The following is a 25931-nucleotide window of genomic DNA, read 5'->3' on the forward strand; positions in this document are numbered from 1 at the left end:
AACTAATTTTTTGTATTTTTAGTAAAGACAGGGTTTCACCGTGTTAGTCAGGATGGTCTCGAACTCCTGACCTTGTGATCCACCCGCCTCAGCCTCCCAAAGTGCTGAGATTACAGGTGTGAGCCACCATGCTCAGCCCTTAGTTTGGTTATTTTTAAGATCTGAACTGTATGAACCTGTTTATAGACTCTCACTGTTTAAGAACTCTGAGAGTAAAGGTGTGGAGAAAGGGAATAACTAGAGAAACAAAAGTTCTGAAAGACACTGATTGGAGTATGGATCCTCTGTTAAAATTTATTTTCTTTCCACTGATGAAGTGTGTATTTTATATCTCTTTACAGGCATAGATGTAGATATAAAATGTTACTTGTCATATATGAACATTATTCTGACTCTCAATAGCCTGTGGCATAAAGTGCTACTTGATCACAAAAATGAGGGGACAATGATCTTGTAACTTTCTACTACAATTACATACAAATATTTATAATCCCATTAGATATTGTATTGATAAACACCTGTATGTAGTCTACAATATGAGGATTTAATAAATTGCTGTCTTAGGTACCAAAAATATTTCTGCGAAGGGCCTTCTTTGTGCCTTCTTTGTGTTTCTGTAGTTATGCAGCTCTGATAGCCGACACTTCTTTGTGTTTTGTAGTTATGCAGCCCTGATAGCCGACTGGCCGGTGGTGGTCTTGGGCATGTGCACCATGTTCATCGTAGTCTGTGCCTTGGTTGGAGTATTAGTGCCAGAGCTCCCTGACTTCTCTGATCCATTGCTGGTAACTAACTTTTATGTTTTCTTTAGCCTAAAATCATCTCCAAATATTGTGTATTTTAATACATGTTGCATTATGTTATTTAGTAACCCATTTCTTTAAAAACCTTCTCAAGCAACAATTCTCTTTCTGAAAAGTAAAGACATGACTTTATCTGTATTATCAGGTTCTTAAAAGGTCAAGGAACTTGTTTACCCTCAAAAATCTGGAAGGTTTGCTTCTTGGTCCCCATGTTTAAGCTAAAAAGCAATAAATTGGAGAATCTGCCTTCTACAAAATTATTCTCATAAAGTCTTTAACACTGTCTCTGTTTTCTCCCAAAGAAGTTAAAGGAATTTCAGTATTACTAACAGATCACAGAGTCTGTTTTTAAGTAAATGTTTCTCTGGAGTGGAATAATGAGGAAAATATGATCAAGGATAATGAAACACTCTTTGTAAAAATACAGTGCGTAACATGATTTAATTTGATCATAATTTTTATAAGATAAAAGTAAGTATTTACTAAATGCTTAGGCATGAGTTGGAAAGATAAACTTTCTTTAGACATGTAACATACCAAAGAATCAAACTGTTTTGTCACAGCAAATAGGTGATGATTATCATGTCAAGGCATCTTGTTTTAATGCAGTCACCTCTGGAGTAGCTGTGAGGAACAGCTATATTTTCTGTTGAAAGCTATATATCACTTTGACATTGCTTTCCCAAGCTTTTATTGTAACTGTACTTAGCCTGAAATGAAATATACTAATGAGCACCTGTAATTTTGCCTTAGGGTTTTGAACCAAGAGGAACAGCAATAGGCCAGAGATTGGTCACATGGAATAATATGGTGAAAAATACAGGATACAAAGCAACATTAGCAAATTATCCCTTTAAATATGCAGATGAACAAGCCAAAAGGTAATCAATTATTTATTTTTATATAACTTTTAGACAAAACATTGCTGAATGAATTCCTCTTCAAATACTGCCTAAACAAAAAATTTAAATGTAAAATGTGTGGCTCAAAATCTTTGCCACTGAATTTGCTTAACTTGTCATTGTGTTTGAAGATTTTGTTGTAGTAGGATGAAAAGGTGAGATTTTCTTTTTTTTTTTCTTTTTTAGAAGTGAGAAAATTAATGTTGGTTGCTTCTTCTAATCCTTTCAACTTAATATCAAGGACTAAGCAGGTCATGGCTTTGAGGAAGTAATGTTTCCAGTATGCTTATCAGCTTTGAAATAACGAGAACTTTATTGAAGATCAAATTGTCGTTCCATTTCAGCCATCGGGATGATAGATGGTCAGATGATCATTATGAAAGAGAGAAAAGAGAAGTTGACTGGAACTTCCACAAGGACAGCTTTTTCTGCGACGTTCCAAGTGAGTGACATTGTAGATGAACAAACCACTCAGCAGTTTGCTCGCATTTAAAATTGAACATGATCACAGTCTAGACTGATAGCCGTGTGTGGCTAGTCACACAGCTTCACTGTTGCTGTTGAACCTAAAGAAATTTTGGCTAATTAACTTTTTCTTTTACTTCTCTAGTTTAGTCAACTACTAGTCTGAGTTTATTATATTATTAAAATTAATGAAAAAGTAATGATTGAGTTTTCTTATTTTAAGGAAGATATAAATCTAATGAAATTCTTGACCTTGCCCAACATTTCAAGTCTTTTTAAAAATTCCTTGTACTATTTATTTCTAGATCAAGTACAGGTACATATTTTTGCATTGAACCTTGAAATAATCTGTTGAATTATTAAAAAATTATTTAAAGTTCCAATTCATTCTAAAGTGAATCAGAAAATGGCTTAAAGTTCTGATTCATTCAAAAAGCAATACTATATTAAGAGCCTTCTGTGTGTTACCTCATCACTAGGCAGTAGAGGTAGAGAGGTGAAAAAAATAAAGTCTAGAGGTTCAAAGTTTGAATGCCTCAGGGGCCTGGCATATAATCCAAGTGAATAAAGCTAGCTAGGTGTGACAGGAGAAGTGATGGTGATTGTGGAACACTAAGGAACATCTGCCCTGTCGAAAGAAATCGGCTGCTACTTAGCCGCGACAAAAGATGGGGTTCTAGAAATGAGGGCCCAAATGTTGCAAGAACTTGCCAGAGGTCAAAAACCCAGAATTTTTTTTTTTTTTGAGACAGAGTTTCGCTCTTGTTGCCCAGGCTGGAGTACAATGGCGCAATCTTGTCTTACCACAACCTCCATCTCCCAGGTTCAAGCGATTCTCCTGCTTCAGCCTTCCCGAGTAGCTGGGATTACAGGCATGCACCACCATGCCTGGCTAATTTTGTATTTTTAGTAGAGACGGGGTTTCTCCATCCGTGTTGGTTAGGCTGCTCTCGAACTCCCGAACTTAGGTGACCATACCGCCTTGACTTCCCAAAGTGCTGGGATTACAGGCATGAGCCACCGCACCTGGCCAAGAATCCAGATTTGAATGTGGAGCCATTAATTCTCTAAATGTTGGCAACAAATTCACTACCCAAAATTTGCTGTAACATGGAGTCAGCCTGATTACTCTGCAGCTGCCAGAGAAGAAGGAAGGCACAGCCTAGAGGACATGAATATAAGTATGTAAGCCATTGATTAGCCATAGTGATTAGGATTGAGGAATTGTGGATAGTATAATTTTTAATTAAGTGAATATTAACATTAAAGCTCTTTTGATTTCAGCTTTTGCTGTTGGTGTTGAAAATCCCTCTTAAATGTATTTTTTCCTGTCTTATTAGAACACTAGATGACCTGATTGGATCTTTGATGTTTCTGGAGTTTACCAAGTCTCAGGGTCTTTATTTTGATCACTTACTCTGTATAGTAATAGATAGTAGGAGATGAGGCAGAACCTTATACTGATCCCAGGAAGCAATACATGTTTCCTTTTCTGTCTCTTCTCTTAAAAAACATTAGGAAATTGAACTCTGGTTACTTGCATGTTCTGGCTGGTTTATTTCTCTCAATCAAAGTATTAGTATATATTATTGCTTAACCAACATCTGTTAGTTATGATCTTAACCAGGAAAAACATTACATTTCAATAGTCAACAGTAAATGCTGTCTCATAAGTAGATTCTGCCTTGACTAAAGCCATTACCAGCTCTATGTAAATGAAATGCTTCAGTTTCTACCAGGCTGATTTTGCTCTCCAAAATCAGTCAACATGAGATAATAGCCAAAACTTCATGATCATAAATAAAAACTTTTATAATAAAGCTTTATTCATAAATTTACCAGCTTATTTGTTAGCACAATTAGACATTTTAACTATCATAAAATTAATCTTCTTTGTTTTATGTGGTTCATATTCTTTAATACGTGGTTCATATTGTTTCTGTTCTGAGGATACAGAAACAATATTGTTGGGCATCTATTATTATCTCATTTAATTCTCACAGCTATTTGAGATAGATATTGCTGTCTGCATTTTACAAATGAAGAACCAAGGCTCAGAGAAGTTGTTAGTTGCCTAAGGTCACGTAGCTAGTAAATGACAGGACCTGGTTATATCCTAATCTGACTTTAAAGACCATGCATGCTCTTTCTGGTATATCATACAACCTCCCTTATTCAGAAACATATTTTTTTGTTAATCTGATTTTCAAAATATTTTTTCTAGCCTCTAGTGTACCAGAGAGACCATGTACTCGACCAGAATGTGGCCAGCATTCTGTACTTAGTTGGCTGTTTTTAGCGATTTTAAATAGATCACCCACCATCTCTCCTCTCTAGTTAGCTGCCAGGGAGAACATCCCTATAATCCATTCTTGGTATTCCCTAGTGCATCTTTTTGTATTAGGGTGATGTGTTGTGAAATTAAGAGGGATATATTCAATTCGTTTCCTGTTGTAAATTCCTGTGGATTTTTCTTCCTATAGTCTGACCAAAAATAGATTTGCTATATAATTCATACAATTTTAAGATGTAGTGAGTAGACAAAGGCTTTGCGCTAAGACAATATTATGGCATTGCTTTTTTTTTTCTTTTAACATTTTCTCCTGGAATTTATCAAAGGAAAGAATTTCCTGCTGCTAATGAATCATCCATGTGGTTTCCCAGTTTGAATTATTTCCAAATCCTGAGTCTTATGAAATAAATGAATAATTTATAAACCTTTTTCTTTCCTTTTTTTTTTCATATCACCAGGTGACCGATATTCCAGAGTGGTATTTACTTCATCTGGAGGGGAGACATTATGGAATTTACCTGCAATTAAATCAATGTGCAATGTAGATAATTCCAGGGTATGTAAGATAAAAACTAAAATCTCCTTAGCACAAATAAGGTTGTATTATTGAAACTCCTTTTACTGCTGACCCTGGTTTCTGATCAGATGAAAGTACTTCAGAGGCTTACCTACTGAGGAGTAAACTCCAGCAGGCCAGCTTTGCATTCTTTCAGATCCCAGGATCAAAGTGTCCGTGTTTCCTTCAACTTTAAAACATACCATCTTCCTTTTTCTTTCCCATTCATGATCTCTGGCTGTTGATGGTGTTTTCTGTTATTTCACATAGTATTTCTTTTCAGTATAATATTTAAGACTGTTTTTCTTCTTTTGTTGTATTTTTATTTCCTAACCTAGTTTCATTGTTCCCTATTTCCTGCCCTGAGGCAGTTGTCAGCATCTTAATTGTGCAATGAAATGCCTGCCTCTCTGGCAATCACTGGGTCATTTGGGCCAGTGACCTCAAAGGGAAATTTAGGGAGCAGGCTGGGAAAGGGGACATCAAAGAGCATAAATACAGTATCTATGTAAATGACCACAGTAATCCAATCCAAACTGCCCTGAATGCTAAACACCTTGCTGCTTCGGGAGACACCGGGATGCAAGAAGACAGGCGCTTTGTCTCTCAGTCTTCTCTACAGCCAAAAACATGTCCGCATCAGAAAATGTAGTGAGCTTCTGGGTTTGGAAGAGCTGTCAATTTCATATGTTCAGAGATAGTTTCTCTAAATAGAAACTGCTATCTGATGTCACTAATGAACTTGTCCAAGCATAGCAACCAGCATAAAAGGAACTCTTTGTGTTCTCAGCATAACTCTAAAATGTAAAATGACTGGTTAAAAAATCGAATCATGTGCCGTGCTGAGAGCTAGCCTGACCACCTCATGCAATCACCTGTTCGGTCAACAGGGAAATTTCTTAATGAAATAGGCAGTAGAAAGGAAAGAAGAGATCACCCAAACCAGCAGTCTCATTGTACTAACATGAGTACCTTCTAAGAACTAAGTATCTTAACCAGGTAACCTAGTTAGTTGGTCCCAGACCTCCCAGATTTACCCCATCCTTCATTCTAAGAGGCTGTTTGTACATTTTGAAAATGACTTTCCAATCGACTGAGGTATCAGGATTTTCTGTCAGTGCTATCTTCCTTTCACATAGACCAAAGCCACAAACGATCTATAAATAGACCAAAGTTTCTTAATTGGTGATCAATTTTTATTTGTGATGTTTTCTTCTCTTCTACAGCTATCAGTTCCTTATTTGAAGGCTATGAACCTATTTCTCTTTGTCATGCATTAGGATACTTCTTATACAGAAAATTAACTCTAAAGTTGTAAATGTGTAGCGAAATTTACTATGTGCAAGACTTTATGCTGGGTACTTGTACATCACTCACAGTGGATCTGTGACCTTGGAATTTACAATGCATTTTACACGGATGATAAATTAAGCTAAGAGAAGCTAAGCCAGTCTGGTTACTTTATAATCTCACCTTGGATGAGTACAGTTCATTAATTTCTATTCCTTCTTGTCCTCATTCTTCTACCTTTGGTTGATCTTCAGACCTTCCCTTTCCTGAAGACTCTGAAGTGATTGAATTCACTCAGTTAATTAATAGCTGATATTTAGTGAGTATTTACCATGTGCCAGGAAGTGTTCTAAATACTTTAATACATTATTTCATTTAATCCCAATGACAGTGTTGTGAATTAAATACTAAATAGCCCATTTTTCAGTTGAGGAAAGTTCACATCTTTGGTCAGGGGCACTTCCAGGATTGGAACCCAGCCAAGTTGAACTCCAGCGTCTGCCTTTACCCACCCTGCTTTATGCTTCTAGTGAGGAAGATACCTCCCCCGTTTTGTTTCCTGTATATGCCATTTCCCACACAAATGAAGCTTAAAAAGTCACTGTGGTCTGGAATAAGTATCCTTTTTTTTCTTAAAGAGCTAGCAATTTATTCCATGAGTACATGTTAGACTCTGAGACTCAAAAGCCAGTAAGCAATAGTACGCCATGGTGGCTTTCATAAATAAAAGTAGTATAGTCTCTCATCTCTCCTCTCTCTCTGTCTCTCTCTCTCTCTCTATATATATATATATATTTGTAAACTACCTCAACATGATTTATATAGATAGATAGATGATAAAAATCATCATGTTGAGGTAGTTTACAGAAAAGCATATGCAAAGGATGAGATAAATAAGTTGAATGAAATACATGAAGGGAAAACAATGGGAGGAAAATAATAAAGCTAAGGATGAGATTTATACTAATGCACACCCCACAATCTTGTACATTTGCTGATGGGAGCTGCAAACTTATCTGTAACCTCCCAGCAGCCAGAGCAAAAAGGATTCACAATCAGTAACAAAAGTCATATAAATAGGGTAACAAGTTTGTTTTTTAGAAGCCCAGCTTTTCCTCCTGCTAAGACGGGAGGAGACAGTTCCCCCATAGTCTTCATAAAAGAAGTGTGACACTGTGTACAAAATTTTTAACAGCGTGCTTAGAAGAGATACAATATTAAAGTTCAGCTGATTTGCAAAACATAGGTAGGCTGGTAGCAAGAAAACATTACAGTAAAAGCATTTCTATAAGAGATCAAAGCAATGGAATCTATGTGGCTTTCTAATGGTTTAGCTTGTTGCATTTGCATAATTTAGATTATCTAAAGGAATAGATGTACTCTGCTTGTCTATCTTTCTACCGAGTTGATAAGGATAGGACAGCTGTGAGTTTAAGTTTGTAATCCCTGGCAAGAACAGTACAACTACATGTTTTTAGTACATATTTTCTAAGTCAACAACTAAAAGCATTATCTATATGCTTTGGCAGTTAATTAGGAAGAGAGCAGTATTGCGGTGCTCTTGTGAGAATTTGAGAAACAGACTCAAGACATGTGTCAAAATGAATGGTTGGTATGGCCAATTATAGATCCATACCAACAAATGAATAAATAGGTGATCAAAGCCCCAAAAGTCTACCTCAAAGAGTATGGTTATCATTTTAGCTTGTTAAATACTATTTTTACCAATTATAAACACCTTTGTATTCTAGTCTCAAACTCTATGAACCTGGAATAATAAACCTTTCTCATGGAGATAATATATTCATCTGATATCTTAAGTAATAACTATTGGTTAACAGTTCGACTTTCAGAATATTACTGTACCTTTTTTTAGTCTCCCAGTTGAAGACACTGTTAGGGGTTTTCTTTGTTACAGTGGTTCGAGCAGAGTTGTCCTAAGACTACTTGGCAGTTGTTCCTCTCCCCAGCCCCCAAATCCTGGTTGTTATATGGAAGCACTTGATTATTAACAACTATGAAGTTAAATGGGGCGCAACCAAGCAATAGCAAGCAGAAGACCTTAATTGTTGGTGGGTTGACTCCAGAAAACGTCTGGTAATTAGTATAAGATCTCAGTGAGACCAGATGTTTCAATTGTCACCTGCCTGTGTTTACAGCACATTTAGTTCAAACTCTAGGTTTTGTTTAAATTACATGCCATTTGTACTCATAATTCAGACATTGGTTTCCAAAGTGAAGTACTTCTGTTTCTGATCCTGTTGTCTACCTCTTAACAGAAATGCTTGTTTCCTTACACACTTTCAAAAGGAGCTTCAGTTGATTCCCCTACTCTTCTTCATTGCCTCTTTCTGCCCTTTGACATCCTAAGGGACACACTGGTGTCGTTAGTAACCAGAAGTGAGTCTCTCTAATCTTGACTCTGCTGGAAACCATGTACTTGTTCCATAGTCTTTGTACAATGTAGAAGTTGGAGCTCTGAGGACTCAGCTTGTAAAGGGATTTGAAATTTGGTGTCAGAGACTGTTTACTAGGGTGACTTTTGTAGACAGCTAGAAAACCCCTGAAGCTTAGAAGATCCCAGAAACATGTTTTCCTATTCTTGTTTTAAAGAGGGCTACAGAGCCCTTGCTTTTTCTTTTCTCCCGAGGCTCCCCTTAAACGTTTAATACATAGGGAGGTTGGTTACGCGTGGAGGAGGGTCCGGCAGTCAATTGAACCTGGTATTAAGGGCTTAATTTTCCTCCCTTTTGTTCTTTTCTCAGCTTCTTAAAATATCTGCAACTTAGCCAATAGTTTTAAAAGTTAAGGTATCATTTAAAACTCTCTGCTGGTTTCTTCTTTTTCTCTCTTCTCTTACTTTACCCTCTATTTTAAGTCAACTCCACCCCTGGCACTATCTAACTAGGGAAGTGTGCCAAGAGATGTTATAACCACATAAGCACAATGATTCCCCTAAACATCCATTTTGTGAATAACTAGAATTAGAAGGGCTATATTCCTCATGAGAGGTATAAGAAGTTGCTTCCACTAACTCCATTTTTATTTTTATAAACTTCAAAGATTTTGAAATTATTCCTATGAATCCCTCTTCCAAAAATATGGCAAAAACATATCTGTGTTCTGTGTGAAGACATACCTGTTTTCCAGTCTCTTTAAGCCCCATAATATAATACATGCTTCTGTGTTTCTGTATCTCAGTCACACATGACTAAGTTAGTGCCATTGTCACATCATACTTACAGACTTTGGTACTTTCTCTGTAGGTCACCATAAGCCCTTACAGATAATACCATACTTCTCGCTTTGAATTACAGTTACTTATGTTTGTGTCTGATTTCCCTGCCACACTGTGAACAATTTGGAGGAAGGACAACTGTGCCTTATTCATCTTATGTAGATGCTCAGTAAATTTGCTTTTGAATGGATGAATAGATCCAGAACATATGACCTTACTCCCTAAAAGTACAGACAATTCCTTGAACTCCATTCCTTTAAATTCAGCGTGTTGGCATCCAACTCAGGGTAGAGAAAACCAGTCACGATGTCTTTTCTCTGTCCTTATTTCTTACCCTGTATGAGTTCTCGAAAACTGGTTTTCCAAAGGTTGACCATCAATCAGTACCATCTTTGAATTGGAGGACTGGCTCCCCAGTGACTTACTAGCACTCGTTTTTAATAGCAGCCATCAAAATAGCATTTAATCTGTGTTTATAATGTCTAACCGCTTAATCTTTGGTCAACTATACACATCTAAAAATGTGCTATTATTTGAAAAGGTTATTCAAGGACAGAATTCTATGCTTTCTCTCCCAGTTTTAGTTGGCAACTCCATGTCCTTTATCTTTGGCATTTGGTTATTTCAGCAACTACAGGTATTTTCCTTCTAGCTGATAATGGATTTTCATAATGGATACAGTTCATTTTCTTCCATTTGAAAACTGTCAGACATTGGGGTTGCATTACCTTTCATTCAGTTCATCAAGCTGACCCTAGTGGTTTGTATGTTACGTCTTTGTAAGGTAAAACTGGTAACCTGCCATGAAAACCAGTGAGATGCCATTCCAGGGTTTCCTGTTGTTGGGTGGTTCAGTTTTCCCTAAGTTAGCGTATGTGAATGTTTTTATCTGGAAACAGTCAAGTATGAATTATCCTAGTTTATGGAATGTTTACGATTGCTCCTCAAAAATGAGCTTTAAAATGAAGGCTTTGTTAAAGTAAATATTATTTTAGTACATTTGAACAAAAACCTTTTGGGTTCATTTTTCTTTACCCTCAATCTGTAGAAAAACAAACAACTTTTTATTATGGAAATTCTCCAGCATATACAAAAGTAGAGAAATAGTATAATGGACTGTCGAAATAGGACACCCAATTCCACAGTCTCAACACATGGCCAGTCCTGTTTCATCTATACCCCACCCCCACAGGATTAGTCCCAGGAAAGTATCCTGATAAACAGAGTTCAGGGATCATAGGTAACTTGGTTCTTGGGTAAGTCCCAGTTCTGAAGCAGTGATTCATGCCAGCTTCTGCTCTACTTTGAGAAGACATTTCAATACATGATTGATAAAGCCAGTTTAATCAAGGTAAAGAGTGTTTTTAATCCTACTAGAAAAAAAAAATATTCACTTCCTCTTTGAACTTTGGAGTTTCTTCCCTGGAACAGCCTTTGGTAAATAGAGATGAGGGAAACTGATAGGACCAGGTCATCTTTAGTTCTGGTTCTCCTAAAGAGAAGTCTCTGGTCAGGCTCAGGAGAAGAGGAATATTTCTTATTCTCACCTCAGAGAAGAGGGGCTACTCATCTAATTTACAGGATGGAATGGTTCAGACTTTAATCTAGCAAACCAGTGATGGAACAATTTTTCAATTTTTTATAACAATAGCCATAAGATGGAAAGCCTTCTCCAGGAATAGTGTTTTAAATGAAATACTGTCCACACCAAATCCAGAATTACCATACTTGCTAATGTGCAGCAGGTCCTCATTTACCAAAAGAGAAAGTTTTCAAAAAAAGGATTTTTGCCAATTTGAATAAACTTTATGGAAGAAATAATTAAATTCTTACTTAGGCATTTATTTTATTGTATATACCAATTTAAAAATCAGATATCAATCATATTTTAATCCAGAAACATTGCCCTTTTCTACTCATACTTCAGGAAACAATTTTATTCCAAACCTTTATGCTTCTTGACATCAGCACTTTTGATATTACTGGGGTCACTTTTTGATTCACCAAACAGTCTTTGTCTTAATCTGTTTGGGCTTCTGTGACAAAATACCTCGGACTGGGTAATTTATAAACAACAAAAATTTAATTCTTATAGTTCCAGAGGCTGAGAAGTTCAAGATCAAGGAATTAGCAGATTCAGTCTGGTGAGGACCTGTTCCTCATAGATGGGGCATTCTACGTGTCCTCATGACCTCTTATAAAAGCACTACTCCCATTCATGAGGGCTCCTCCCTTGTGATTTAGTCACCTTCCAAAAAGTCACACCCCCTAACACTAACACACTGGGGATTAGGTTTCAACTTGAATTTGGGAGGAGCACAAACATTCAGACCAAAGCAGTTCTCTAGGGAATATCATCTTTGCTTCTAACTGTGTTGACTGAAATATAGTACTTTAGTCACCAACAATTTCATGCTGATAACCAGAATTTTAGGCAAAACCACAAATTTGTTTCATATATCAAGTGTACGGTTTTCTTAATCCTATGCATGTATATACATAAGCTTCACAACCTGTCCATTTTATTGCTTTTTAAAGTGGCTTTGAAAAGGCTTGTTGACTAAGTAGGTGTTAATTTGATCTCCTTTTGTAAACAAAACTAGCATTGGTTGAAGTTGTTTCACACTTGCATGTCATCCCCAAACAGTAGTTTTTAATTCAGAATAAAGTAACCTAAAGGGCATCCTGTAACATGACGCCATTTAGGGGAAATTTCACCCTGTATTCAAACTGATTCCTAGTTTAAGTGGATAATTATTTAGCTTTTGTAACTTTCCCTGTCCCTCAAGATCACCTTAGTGCAGTCCTTTCCAGTTGTGAACGATTGTGAACCAATTTAAACTGTAGTCCTTCTGCTTGTCTCTATCTCTGCAGATCAGATCTCATCCCCAGTTTGGTGATCTCTGCCAGAGGACCACTGCTGCCTCCTGCTGCCCCAGCTGGACACTGGGAAACTACATCGCCATTCTGAACAATAGATCGTCCTGTCAGAAAATAGTTGAGCGAGACGTTTCTCATACCTTGAAGCTGCTTCGGACTTGTGCCAAACACTACCAAAATGGCACTCTGGGGCCAGACTGCTGGGACATGGCAGCCAGAAGAAAGGACCAGCTCAAGTGCACCAATGTGCCACGCAAATGTACCAAGTACAATGCTGTGTACCAGATCCTCCATTACTTGGTGGACAAAGACTTTATGACCCCAAAGACGGCTGACTATGCCACGCCAGCTTTAAAATACAGCATGCTCTTCTCTCCCACAGAGAAAGGGGAGAGCATGATGAACATTTACTTGGACAACTTTGAAAACTGGAACTCTTCTGACGGCGTGACTACCATCACCGGGATTGAGTTTGGTATCAAACACAGTTTGTTTCAGGATTATCTTCTAATGGATACTGTGTATCCTGCCATAGCCATTGTGATTGTCCTTTTAGTTATGTGTGTCTACACCAAGTCCATGTTTATCACTCTGATGACAATGTTTGCAATAATCAGTTCTTTGATTGTTTCCTATTTTCTCTATCGTGTAGTATTTCACTTCGAATTTTTTCCTTTTATGAACCTCACTGCCCTCATTATTTTGGTTGGAATTGGAGCAGATGATGCTTTTGTCCTGTGTGATGTTTGGAACTACACAAAATTTGATAAGCCTCATGCCGAAACCTCAGAAACAGTAAGCATCACCTTGCAGCACGCTGCCCTCTCCATGTTCGTCACCAGTTTTACCACTGCTGCTGCCTTTTATGCTAACTATGTTAGCAACATTACAGCAATCCGATGCTTTGGGGTTTATGCGGGGACAGCTATATTGGTGAATTACGTTTTGATGGTCACATGGCTTCCAGCAGTTGTTGTGCTGCATGAGCGGTATCTTCTTAATATATTCACTTGCTTCAAAAAGCCCCAGCAGCAAATATATGATAACAAAAGCTGCTGGACAGTGGCTTGCCAGAAGTGCCACAAAGTACTCTTTGCCATTTCAGAAGCATCTCGAATTTTTTTCGAAAAAGTATTGCCATGCATTGTCATTAAGTTTCGCTACCTTTGGCTGTTTTGGTTCCTTGCCTTAACTGTAGGTGGGGCCTACATTGTATGTATAAATCCAAAGATGAAACTGCCCTCACTGGAGTTATCCGAGTTCCAGGTGTTCCGGTCGTCCCATCCTTTTGAGCGTTATGATGCTGAATACAAAAAGCTTTTCATGTTTGAACGTGTTCACCATGGCGAGGAGCTCCACATGCCCATCACAGTAATCTGGGGCGTGTCCCCAGAAGACAATGGCAACCCACTAAATCCCAAGAGTAAAGGGAAGTTGACATTAGATAGCAGTTTTAACATCGCCAGCCCAGCTTCCCAGGCCTGGATTTTGCACTTCTGTCAAAAACTGAGAAACCAAACATTCTTTTACCAGACTGATGAACAGGACTTCACCAGCTGCTTCATTGAGACATTCAAACAGTGGATGGAAAACCAGGACTGTGATGAGCCTGCCCTGTACCCATGCTGCAGCCACTGGAGCTTCCCCTACAAGCAAGAGATTTTTGAACTGTGCATCAAGAGAGCTATCATGGAGCTGGAAAGGAGTACAGGGTACCATTTGGATAGCAAAACCCCAGGGCCGAGGTTTGATATCAATGATACTATCAGGGCAGTGGTGTTAGAGTTCCAGAGTACCTACCTCTTCACACTGGCTTATGAAAAGATGCATCAGTTTTATAAAGAGGTGGACTCGTGGATATCCAGTGAGCTGAGTTCGGCCCCTGAAGGCCTCAGCAATGGTTGGTTTGTCAGCAATCTGGAGTTCTATGACCTCCAGGATAGCCTCTCCGATGGCACCCTCATTGCCATGGGGCTGTCAGTTGCTGTTGCATTTAGCGTGATGCTGCTGACAACTTGGAACATCATCATAAGCCTTTATGCCATCATTTCAATTGCTGGAACGATATTTGTCACTGTTGGTTCTCTTGTCCTGCTGGGCTGGGAGCTCAATGTGTTGGAATCTGTCACCATTTCGGTTGCCGTCGGCTTGTCTGTAGACTTTGCCGTCCATTATGGGGTTGCCTACCGCTTGGCTCCAGATCCCGACCGAGAAGGCAAAGTGATCTTCTCTCTGAGTCGCGTGGGCTCTGCGATGGCCATGGCTGCCCTGACCACCTTCGTGGCAGGGGCCATGATGATGCCCTCCACAGTTCTAGCTTACACCCAGCTGGGCACCTTCATGATGCTCATCATGTGTATCAGTTGGGCTTTCGCCACCTTCTTTTTCCAGTGCATGTGCCGGTGCCTTGGACCACAGGGTACCTGTGGTCAGATTCCTTTACCTAAAAAACTACAGTGCAGTGCCTTTTCCCATGCCTTGTCTACAAGTCCCAGTGACAAGGGACAAAGCAAAACACATACCATAAATGCTTATCATTTAGATCCCAGGGGCCCAAAATCTGAACTGGAGCATGAGTTTTATGAATTAGAACCTCTGGCTTCCCACAGCTGCACTGCCCCTGAGAAGACCACTTATGAAGAGACCCACATCTGCTCTGAATTTTTCAACAGCCAAGCAAAGAATTTAGGGATGCCTGTGCATGCAGCTTACAACAGTGAACTCAGCAAAAGCACTGAAAGTGACGCTGGCTCTGCCTTGTTACAGCCCCCTCTTGAACAGCATACCGTGTGTCACTTCTTCTCTCTGAATCAGAGATGTAGCTGCCCAGATGCCTACAAACACTTGAACTATGGCCCACACTCTTGCCAGCAGATGGGGGACTGCTTGTGCCACCAGTGCTCTCCTACCACTAGCAGCTTTGTCCAGATCCAAAACGGCGTGGCACCTCTGAAGGCCACACACCAAGCTGTCGAGGGCTTTGTGCACCCCATCACGCACATCCACCACTGTCCCTGCCTGCAGGGCAGAGTAAAGCCAGCCGGAATGCAGAATTCTCTGCCTAGGAATTTTTTCCTCCACCCAGTGCAGCACATTCAGGCCCAAGAAAAAATTGGCAAGACCAATGTACACAGTCTTCAGAGGAGCATAGAAGAGCATCTTCCAAAGATGGCAGAGCCATCGTCATTTGTCTGCAGAAGCACTGGATCGTTACTCAAAACGTGTTGCGACCCCGAGAATAAACAAAGGGAACTCTGTAAAAATAGAGACGTGAGCAATCTGGAGAGCAGTGGAGGGACTGAAAACAAGGCAGGAGGGAAAGTGGAGCTGAGCTTGTCACAGACGGATGCAAGTGTGAACTCAGAACATTTCAATCAGAATGAACCAAAAGTCCTATTTAATCATTTAATGGGGGAGGCTGGTTGTAGGTCTTGCCCAAATAATTCACAAAGTTGTGGCAGAATTGTGAGAGTGAAGTGCAATTCTGTGGACTGTCAAATGCCAAACATGGAAGCCAATGTGCCTGCTGTATTAACACACTCGGAACTTTCTGGTGAAAGTTTGTTAATAAAAACACTATAATAAATGCAGCATTCAATTCAGAACCAGTGCCTCAATTATTCTTTTAACATGGAAGTAAAATCCAGAAGCTTAGAAAAGAAGCCCAAAAATACAGCAACAAGCATGTTTCACATTAACAATTTTAGAATATTTTTATATTCCGTAGGAACAACAAACTTACAAATCTGCTGAGTGCGTTAGGTTATTGGATTGGATGATTGTTGGATTTTATATTTTCAAAAAGTATAGTTGTTTTTTACATTTATGCCCAGCTTGAAAAATAACTGTCTCTCTTTCTACCCTCCCACTGCAGTGAGTCGGAGATTTAAAGTTTAAAGTTTCCGTTCTCCCGGGCCATCATATTCACCTGGTATCCTCATTCTAGTGTATTTCGTGGGCAGTAATCAGTACTTTTGATTGCTCAACATGAATACTAGGAATTGCTCTAATTTTAATAGAGCCAGTTCAGTTGGGATTCAAGAACTAAATTAAAACTTACATTTTTGGTGAGGCCTCATGTAAAAAATCAATTGCCAAGCACCTTAATAATGCATTCCACATGTCTGCTTTAGTAGACTTTACATGAAGCCAAGAACACACGTATATCCACACCAGTGTCTTTTCCACTTTAACCAAAATGTACAGTTGTTCAGTAATTTTAGCTGTTAACCCAGGAGCCATGAGCATCATCTGTGTCAGGCCACAATTATGTTAAAGGCACAGAAGGACGGGCGTGAATGAAGAGATGTGATCGCACAAAATAGTGCTGCACTTCACAGGATACGTTGCATGATGTCAGAGACAGATCCAGGTCAGGTGAGCATTCAGAGCAAGGGAACTTGGATGAAGTTTTGCTTCCAACTCTGCCCCTAAGGGGCCATGTTTAGAAGGCTTCTTTCTCCTTTGTTAAAAAGTGTCTCAAGACACTTAAGGATTATTTTTTTGTGCAGTTAACACCTGGAAATGCTAAGCCTTCAGGCAGCATCTTAAATGACACTTGTGTATCTCATGTTAGATCAGTCGACAGTAATTGAGCTGTTGGAGCATGCTCTCTGGATAATGCTTCAGATGACAGTCCTCATCATAGGGTGTCATCTGATCCTTTGTGCATTCCAGCCCCATCCTGGAAGTGTTCTTCTGCATTCTGCTTCCCTCTGGAGTTCTACCTCCAATTTGGTCCTCCAAAGAAAAGAGTGGAAATATTTGTAAATACAATGTTCCCTCCAAACGTTATATTGGTTATTTTCTAAGAATAGTTTTCCAAATTAGATCTGCATGTTTTTCCAGGGCCTGAGAAAAATGCTGTCAGAAGCAGGAAGGGATCTTATGGGTCATTGACTCCAACCCACATCCACTAGACCACATATTTGTTAAGTAACTTTCCAGCTTTTGCTTGAACACTTCGGTGACCAGTAGGTCACTACACGTCTACCTTGGTTGAACCGGAATTTGTTGTCCTGTAGTTTTTCTACCAGTTTGTCCTCATTCTGTTCTCTGAAGTGAAAGCAAACATCCCTCTTGCTAACATTGGCAGTTCACTGAGTTCATCCCGTGAACACGGATTGAGCATCTACGCACTGTGCAGCTGAAGTACACAAGCAGACTCTGATTACACTGCAAGGAGGAGGACCAGCCCCCAGGAGTCTGGATGGCACTCCCGCTAGTTCACATAGAGACGGAAATAACTTTCGCTCAAGTATTATAGCCAACTCTCAGGCAGCGCACAGGGAACTAAACCCTCTAGGTCTCTCACATATTCTGTTGCTAAGCTGCCTCTCCAAACCAGTTAGTTTCTTTTAACACTGACATTCAGGAGCTTATGTCCATTCCCATCGCACTTAATTCTGTTAGATAAATAAGGGGACATATGGAGGAGAAGGAGCACTTGAAAACAGGACTCACGATACCCGACACTAGAGTCTTTGTTTTCCCTCTGAAATGTGTAACCATAAAGTTATGTGAAAATTTAGTGGCCCAAAAGGACTTTTTTCGGCCACCCACATGGATTGAATTTAAAGGCAATTAAAAAAAACGCCAATTTCTTTATGGATGGTCTAACCTGGAAGACTTTCAGGTAAGCTAAGTGTCATTTGATTTGAAAATGAAGACTAGAGGGAGGAGGGGGAACATCCTATGTCTTCTCTCTGGGTTCCACCAGGGAGGCATGGTTACCATGCACCGAGCCTGCTCTGTCTCCACGGGGCTGGAGGGGCCTCCCCCGTCCCCCATCCCCCGTCCCCCATCCCCCATCTCTGATTAATTACCCTGAGCCTTGAATGCAGCAGTGAAACCTTTTCACATTTATTTCATCTCCAGATCTGGGCCTTTGAATTGACTATGTTTTTCACGAATGGATTTCTTTTTTTAAAAAAGTATTTGCTGGGGCTAGAAAGTTTTAAGAATTTTTTAATTTTTATTTTCAATTCATTACTGGGCAGCAGAGGATCACTATTTCTAGGAATGTTTCACAAAAAACTTCATCCAATCTTCTAGGTAATTTTCAAAGCAGATAAGAGGTTAAATTATACATAGGGAAAAGAGCCCTTTCCTCTGTCTGTGAAATACTTGTAACTTGGAAGGTATTTGGTTATGGAAAGAATCTGCAGACTGCCACTACAACAAGAACATCTTTGAGGTTTGAGTCCATGTTATCAAATTTGTTCCTGACTTCTTCCCTGCAAGGTCACTCTTTAAATTCCTATTTTATTGAAAAGTGGAAGAGGCCAAGAGCAAGGAGTTTTTCACAGAGACAAGCTGTGTTTGAAATAACTACACCGCTTCATCTGTGTGTATTCATTTCTTTGTGTAATTGCTGTAAAATGCACATCCTCCTAGAATAATATTCTTTAAAGGTAGGCTAAGCTGCTATTAAATGTTATTGTAATAATCTATGCCCCACCTTCAATCATTCTAAATTTTTAAACTTTTGCATGGGGTGATGTGAAGAGTAGTTTACAAATGTGATCTTACAGGAGATTAGGAAATGTTCCCGGTTCCCATTGTCTCACATGGAAACCATCTTTCCACCAGCAGTTAGGATAGTTTCTGAATGAAATAGCAGCAAACAGTGTCTTTGAAAACAGCTGCATCTTTTCACTTTAATGAGGAGAGTCGTTTTAGAAGAAAAAACAATGAAACCTGTGTTTTAAAAAAAATCCAGACTCAATTGGGATTTTTTCTTAAGGTTCAAACATAACCACAAAAATAGAAATTTGTTGAAATCACAAGGGGATTGTTTTTTATGCACAAGAAACTATCACGTCCAAATACCCTGTATGCCATAGTGGAGCTTTCGGAAATGTTTGCTGGCATTTAGTTTATCTCTAATTATTGTTAGATTAACCTACTTTTTTTGTTAGACATTTTCATTAATGTTTGGTTTTGTACACTAAGGTTTCATATCTTTGCATTAAATACAAAGAAAAAAGTAATGAATATGCAAGGTTGATTAGTGGAATCTTGTGCCCTTTGTTCTTAACAGTGTTTTAATTGCCATAATTTTGGATGTGTGTGTGTGTGTGAAAAGAAAAGATGTCACTTCTCTTTTTGTTAGCTTTGTGAACCAAAGGGTGCTTACAGAAAAACAACTAAGTAACCAGGATCAACAACAGTTTCCATCAGATCCCCTAAACCATCAGTTAGAACATGAAGTTGACAATACAGGGGCCAACTAGGACACAGTTCATTAACTCAGTGGAGCCTGTGGGCACATACGTATGCTTTCCTGAGATTCTGGGGCCGTGAGTGCTGTTTTAAGTTTTAGGGAGGGGGACATGAAATACAGCGATGATGTTCTGCATTCAGAAGTCAGTCCAAGAAGGAGCTTCTTCCAGCTTGCCTGTTCTTAAGGTTTTAGGTAACCTTGAGAACCATATACTTTTTATTTTGAATAAGAAGATAAATCAGTGGCCCAAATTATTCACAGTGATGCTGTACAAAACAGGTTCCCTTCTTAAGGGATTTAAGCCAACATTTGAAATAACAGTCAACACCTCTGCTGCTCTCATCTGACCCATAAAATGACTGCACTTCTTGACTTACTTTGTGCTTCATTTAGTGACTGTGATATTCACAACCCTATGACAATCACAGTGAAATAGTTCAATTCCATGTTCTTAAATCGACTGGAATAGCTAAACTGCAACATTTACCCTTTCAAATCTTTTTTTTTTTTTACATAACTTTCTGTAATGTAAACTATGCTTTCCTAAAAAAATTAAGGGCAGATTATTTTTAGCAAGAAATATTTTTCTTTGGGGTCGGGCGTGGTGGCTCATGCCTGTAATCTCAGCACTTTGGGAGGCCGAGGCGGGCAGAGCACTTGAGGTCAGGAGTTTGAGACCAGCCTGGCCAACATGGTGAAACCCTGTCTCTACTAAAAATACAAAAATTAGCCAGGCGTGATGGTGAGTGCCTGTAATCCCAGCTACTCAGGAGGCTGAGGCAGGAGAATCACTTGAACATGGGAGGAGGAGGTTGGGGTGAGCTGAGATCGTGCCACTGCACTCCAGCCTGGGTAACAGAGTGAGACTCCATCTCCAAAAAAAAAAAGGAAAAGAAAAATATTTTTCTTTGGAATCCAATAAGGTTCTTGTAAGAGCCGGTTTTAATTTGAGGCAAAGTAACAGAGTAAAATTGGCTCAATCTCTATCCACTAATTGGCCATTTTTGATCAGTGCATTGGACTTTTAACTTGCCACTATTTAAAGGGGAAAGGATTTGCTAAATAAACCAATAATCTAAACAGGATTACAAAGAGCCTGTTTAGCCTGCCTAAGAAAACAAACCTCTAGAGTTTAAAAAACTGTAGTGTTACTGTCTTTGCAACGTAATATGATCATTACAAATCTTACTAATTTTTAAAAAAAGGGTCCCGTGGGATAATCTCTAGGCAAAACTTTACCAGATGTTTTAAATACTAGGTAAGAATGGGAAAATAGCATGGATTTTCAAGTGGTCCTCAATGTGGTCTTTCTGAGATTCTCCCCACTCCCACCAGCTGCATTATTCTATCTTGGGAAGCTCTCTCACCCACAGAGTGACTTCTATTTCTCTCTTTTGTGGCAGCAATCAAGAGCTTAATTCACTGGAGCTTTAAACCATGGGGTGTGTGAAGCCACAAGCATTCCTCTCCCTCCAGTAAGATTTCTGTTTGTAAAGAGATCTGAGGAAAGGCTTTGTGAAACAAGCAAATCTCTGACAATATCCTCACTCAGATTGAAGTTCACCGGTGTTTGTTCTTTTTTAGAGCTTGATCTCTTCTCTTTACTTTTAGTTTCCTGAATAGTGTATGTGTTATTCGTCATATATGTGGGATGGGACTAGATCTATACCGAATAATCTTGAATTGCTGAATAATTCTGTCACAGATCCCATTTGGAATTTCTTTGCCTTGCCCTGCCCTGGAAAGGACCCTGGGCTCTGGCAGATAAAGGGGAATTCCCTTCAGTGAGTGGCTTCCCTGCCAATCATGGCAAATTACACAGCTCTCTAGTAAATATCTGCACGATGCCAACCGAGAAGAAGCGGAGGTCAGAAAAGCCAATTTTGAGACAACACTTCAATCCTTCCTCTAAGTCACTGTGATTCAGAAAACATTTAGGTGCATCTCCTATCCTGGAAATAAAAACTGATTTTTGCAAAGGTTAAATGAGATGCGACACATTAAAGAGGCTATTGTGTAACTCTTACTATCCAATAGCTTTTATGCTCATCATCATGTCATTCGATTCTGCTCATTAACGCTCATCCTGCAAACATTCGAGCAAGACCAGCCACTTTCTAGTACCTCAGGCCATCCTTTGTCAGCTGATTCCCTGTCACACAGATGCTATGTATTTGCCTGTATTGCAAATATCGTATATATTATATATAGTATATAAATGTGTGTACATACATGTTTTCAATGTATAGATTTGCTGCAAATACTTCAATATAATAAAAACTGTATTCTACTCTAGTCTGTCTTACTGTGAACTCTGTGTTTTAAATAAGGTGTTTGTTTTTATTTATGTTCCAAAAGCTGCATCAGTGTATCCATTCACTACATTCTTGGGGTACCATAGAGGTATTTTCTACTCTGACTTTATAAGCTAAATAATTTTAAGGATATTCTTCATATTCTGGTTGTAGCATGTTTTTTATAGTTTACAAGTCCCTTTTCCATGCATACTTAGCTAAATTAAATCAGTCTTTGGATGGGCGCTGTGGCTCACGCCTGTAATCCCAGCACTTCGGAAGGCCAAGGTGGTTAGATCACCTGAGCTCAAGAGTTCAAGACCACCCTGGGCAACATGGTGAAACCCTGTCTCTACTAAAATACAAAAAAATTAGCTGAGCATGGTGGTGTGCGCCTGTAGTTCCAACTACTCAGGAGACTGAGGCACGAGAATCTCTTGAGCCCAGGAGGCAGAGGTTGCAGTGAGCCGAGATTGCTCCACTGCACTCCAGCTTGGGCTACAGAGTGAGACTCCGTCTACAAAAATAAATGAATAAATTAATTAAGTCGGTCTTCACTATAAGTTGTCTGCCAAAAAATGTTGAAGGAATGAATGAGTAAATGGATGAAAGGATACACAGATTGTTGAAGTAGTCAGGGCAGATAGTTTTCCCTTGTTTACAGATGATGAACTTGAGGCAAAGGGACTTAACTTGATCACTTGCCTGACAAGTTTTAAATTAGGAATCCAGAGTTTTTTCCACAATATAAACCTACCATGATGAAGTCATTAAAAAAATGGTTCATGATTCCTTGATATCATTTTAATTTTAACCATCCATATGACTCCTCTTCTGATGTAATTATTCACTAGCCTATTTCTCTTGACTTAGTTCTTATTCAAGGTAGATACATATTTTTCTAGTTTTTATTTGCCACTTATGCTTGTGGGTTTTGTCACATAATATATGTTTCATGTTCATTTTGAGGGTCTCATAATACTCAGAAATTGAAAAGCAAAACCCAAGATCTGCAGTGGTTTCTGCTACAATAAGCTGAACTTAAGATGAAACTTTGAGAAAATGGATAGACACAATTGACATTTTCCAGAATACACGTTTTATTTTAAAATCCCCTCAGTGTTTTTGCTAATGCACACTGAAGTTCCCTTGATTTGTCTGCCATCCATGTATAGATTTGCTCATTAATCCAACAGACACTGCTGAGAGCCTGCAATAAGCCAGCTACTGTCTCAGTTACTGGAGCCTGAATAAGACACGGCCCCTGCCTTCCAAGAGTGCAGAGTAGTAAACAAATCATTACAAGATAAATGACTGCTTGGAAGAAAAATCAATTTTACAACACCTCTCACAAACAAAGGATTAATATCTCTATCATACAAATGTAAAAGAAAAGAGAACCAATAGAAAAGTGGGCAAATGAAATAACCCGGCACTCAACAGAAGGAGGGTTACAAATGGACAATCTATTCACTAGTTGACTTACCATTTGAACTTACACAGTTGTCCAGAATTTTAGATAGATGGCTTCCAGTGTTGGAAAGGATGTGGGCGAAAGAGGTACTGTTTGGATGGGTGAAAATCAACACAATATTTTGAAAGGGTAGTTTCTGACAACACCGTGGATGTTTATAGTCTGTGATAGAAGAGTCTCATTTCTAGAAATCTCCCCTCCAGAAATGATGAAATATGTGTGTGCCACGTCTATGTATGGGAGTGTTCATCACAAGAATTCAAAAAAAATGCTGTCCACCAGAAGAGCCCTGGTTAAAGAAAGCTATGGAATACGTGGTAGCCCTTTAAAAGAATGATGTAGATTTTTATGAACTCACCTGTAAAGATATTCATGGTACATCGTTAGGGAAAAAAAAATAAGTTGCAAATAAAATAGAATGATATAACAAAACTTTTAGCAAGGTTTCCTCTAGCGAATAGAGTCAAATATAAGACTACTTGCAAATGACGGAGTAATTTAACATTATTTAATAATTTTTTAATGTACTTGGAAAACAGATGATTTTAGCCTTCCTTTTCAATATTGTATTTTTTTACATTGCAAGAAAGCAGCGGGCCACACAGCAGAGAAGGGGCTGTCTACCCAATAGTTTAAAAATAGGTGAATGTCCAAATGGCACAGTTTAGTGTAAGTATTGTAACCCAGGAGTGCACAAAACGTCATAAGAAAGGAGAGGAAGGGACATAATCCTGTGTGTTTACCATTTATGTGGTCTCTTTTCATCTATTATCCATTTAATCCCTGGACAATCTAGGAAGTCAGTAATATTACCTCTATTTTACAGATGCATAAACTGAGGATAAGAAAAATTAGGTAACACTTCTAAGGTCACACAGCTGTGTAGCAGCAGAGATAGATTTTAGCCCAGGCCTGTTTAGCAAGCTCCCACCTGAATGTTTGGGCCAGGTATTATAGATGCAACCAGAGGAGAGAGCTGCAATCCAGGCAGAGGAAACTGCAGATAAGAGTCAGAGACTTCAAAGAACTTAGCCCATCACAGGAATGTTTCTAACAGGGAGAAGTTGTAAAAATTTCTCATACCTGGTAAAAAGAAGACTATAAAAGAGTCTTCAAGTCACACCAAAATCAAAACCTTTTTTCTACAGGTTTCTTTATATGCTCTAGAACTAAGGGCTTGAACAGGGGCTTCTAGAAAGAAGGCAGATCTGAATCTAGACTTCCCGTCTCACACAGTGATTTGTGGAATGGGGACTGTGTGTGTGGTGGACTGTGATCATTCCTGGGTACTCCCACACTTTAACAGCCTCTCCATATTTCAAAAGCTTCCCCCATATTGTGGATCTACCTTCCCAGCATGGCAGCCAGACATGGATGCCCAGTCTCACTTGCTGTAAGGCTACAGACATGTGACTTAGTTTCTATCAATCAGATGGACTTTGGTTTGAAAGTGATGAAACAGGCCGGGCGCGGTGGCTCACACCTGTAATCCCAGCACTTTGGGAGGCCAAGGCGGGTGGATCATAAGGTCAAGAGATCGAGACCATCCTGGCTAACATGGTGAAACCCCATCTCTACTAAATATATAAAAATTAGCTGAATGTGGTGGTGCACACCTGTAATCCCAGCTATTCAGGAGGCTGAGGCAGGAGAATCACTTGAACCCGGGAGGCAGAGGTTTCAGTGAGCCGAGATGGCGCCACTGCACTCCAGCCCGGTCGACAGAACAAGACTCTGTCTCAAATTTAAAAAAAAAAAAAAAAGTGATGAAACCAGCTGGGACCATGGCTTAGACCTGCAAATGCATGTGATTTGGGGTTGTCAATGTCGGCAGCTCCCTTACCAGGACCATTCTTCAGTGCGGTGCTGGAAGTTGTTCTAGAAGCTTGGGTGTCTCCAGTCCTTGCAACATTTCAGTGAGTTTTCTAATGTCCTTAATAAATGCTCTCCTGCTGAAAACCAGCTAGAATAGATTCTATTGTCTGCAACTCAGGACCATGACCAATACAACACAGGGACTCTAAGGGGAGAGGAAGAGCCATCCTATCACCCTACTGGTCTTAGCTTCAAATAAGGAATGGAGAAAGCTATGAAATAAAGTGTGCTGGCCTCTTTGCTAACACTTTGTCTTCACTTCCTTAAGGTTAATGAGTTCTAATCATGTTCAGAATTTACCTTAGAGTTTTAAATTCTGCCCCAAGGCAATTACATCTTTCATTCGTTTATAAATACTCCAGTAGTAATGTCTTGACCTCATAGCCTCTGAAACATTCACTTCCCCAGCAAATGCTAACCATGGAAACAACTCAGCCAAAATGCATAACTGATAGGAGAGAGGCAGGGGCTATGCCTAACTCCCTCTGGGAGTTCCCTGGGAGGCCCACATATCTGAAAAGAAGACTGAGAACCGAGGGGAGGCAGACAGGTGAGAAGACAGCTTTCAAGTCCTTTGATTTCTTTTTTTTTTTTTTTTCAGACAGAGTCTCGTTCTGTCGCCCAGGCTGGAGTGCA

At 39.3% G+C, this 25931-nt stretch overlaps 1 protein-coding gene across 15 annotated transcripts in view; it reads left to right on the forward strand.

Moving 5' to 3' along the window:
* The window catches only part of DISP1 (dispatched RND transporter family member 1), a 190957-nt gene extending 174925 nt beyond the window's left edge, over window positions 1-16032 (forward strand). For 14 of the 15 annotated variants that reach the window (NM_032890.5, XM_011510075.3, XM_011510073.3 and 11 more), the window contains 5 exons: window positions 662-785; window positions 1557-1684; window positions 2050-2147; window positions 4922-5019; window positions 12422-16032. In NM_032890.5, coding sequence (NP_116279.2) covers window positions 662-785; window positions 1557-1684; window positions 2050-2147; window positions 4922-5019; window positions 12422-16009 — 4036 coding nt within the window. In that variant the 3' untranslated portion in view covers window positions 16010-16032. Of the gene's footprint in view, window positions 1-661; window positions 786-1556; window positions 1685-1891; window positions 2148-4921; window positions 5020-12421 lie in introns of all 15 variants that reach the window. The other variant, NM_001350630.2, reaches the window with a different exon arrangement.

This window comes from Homo sapiens, chromosome 1 (genome assembly GCF_000001405.40).
Source record: "Homo sapiens chromosome 1, GRCh38.p14 Primary Assembly".
NCBI lineage: Eukaryota > Metazoa > Chordata > Mammalia > Primates > Hominidae > Homo > Homo sapiens.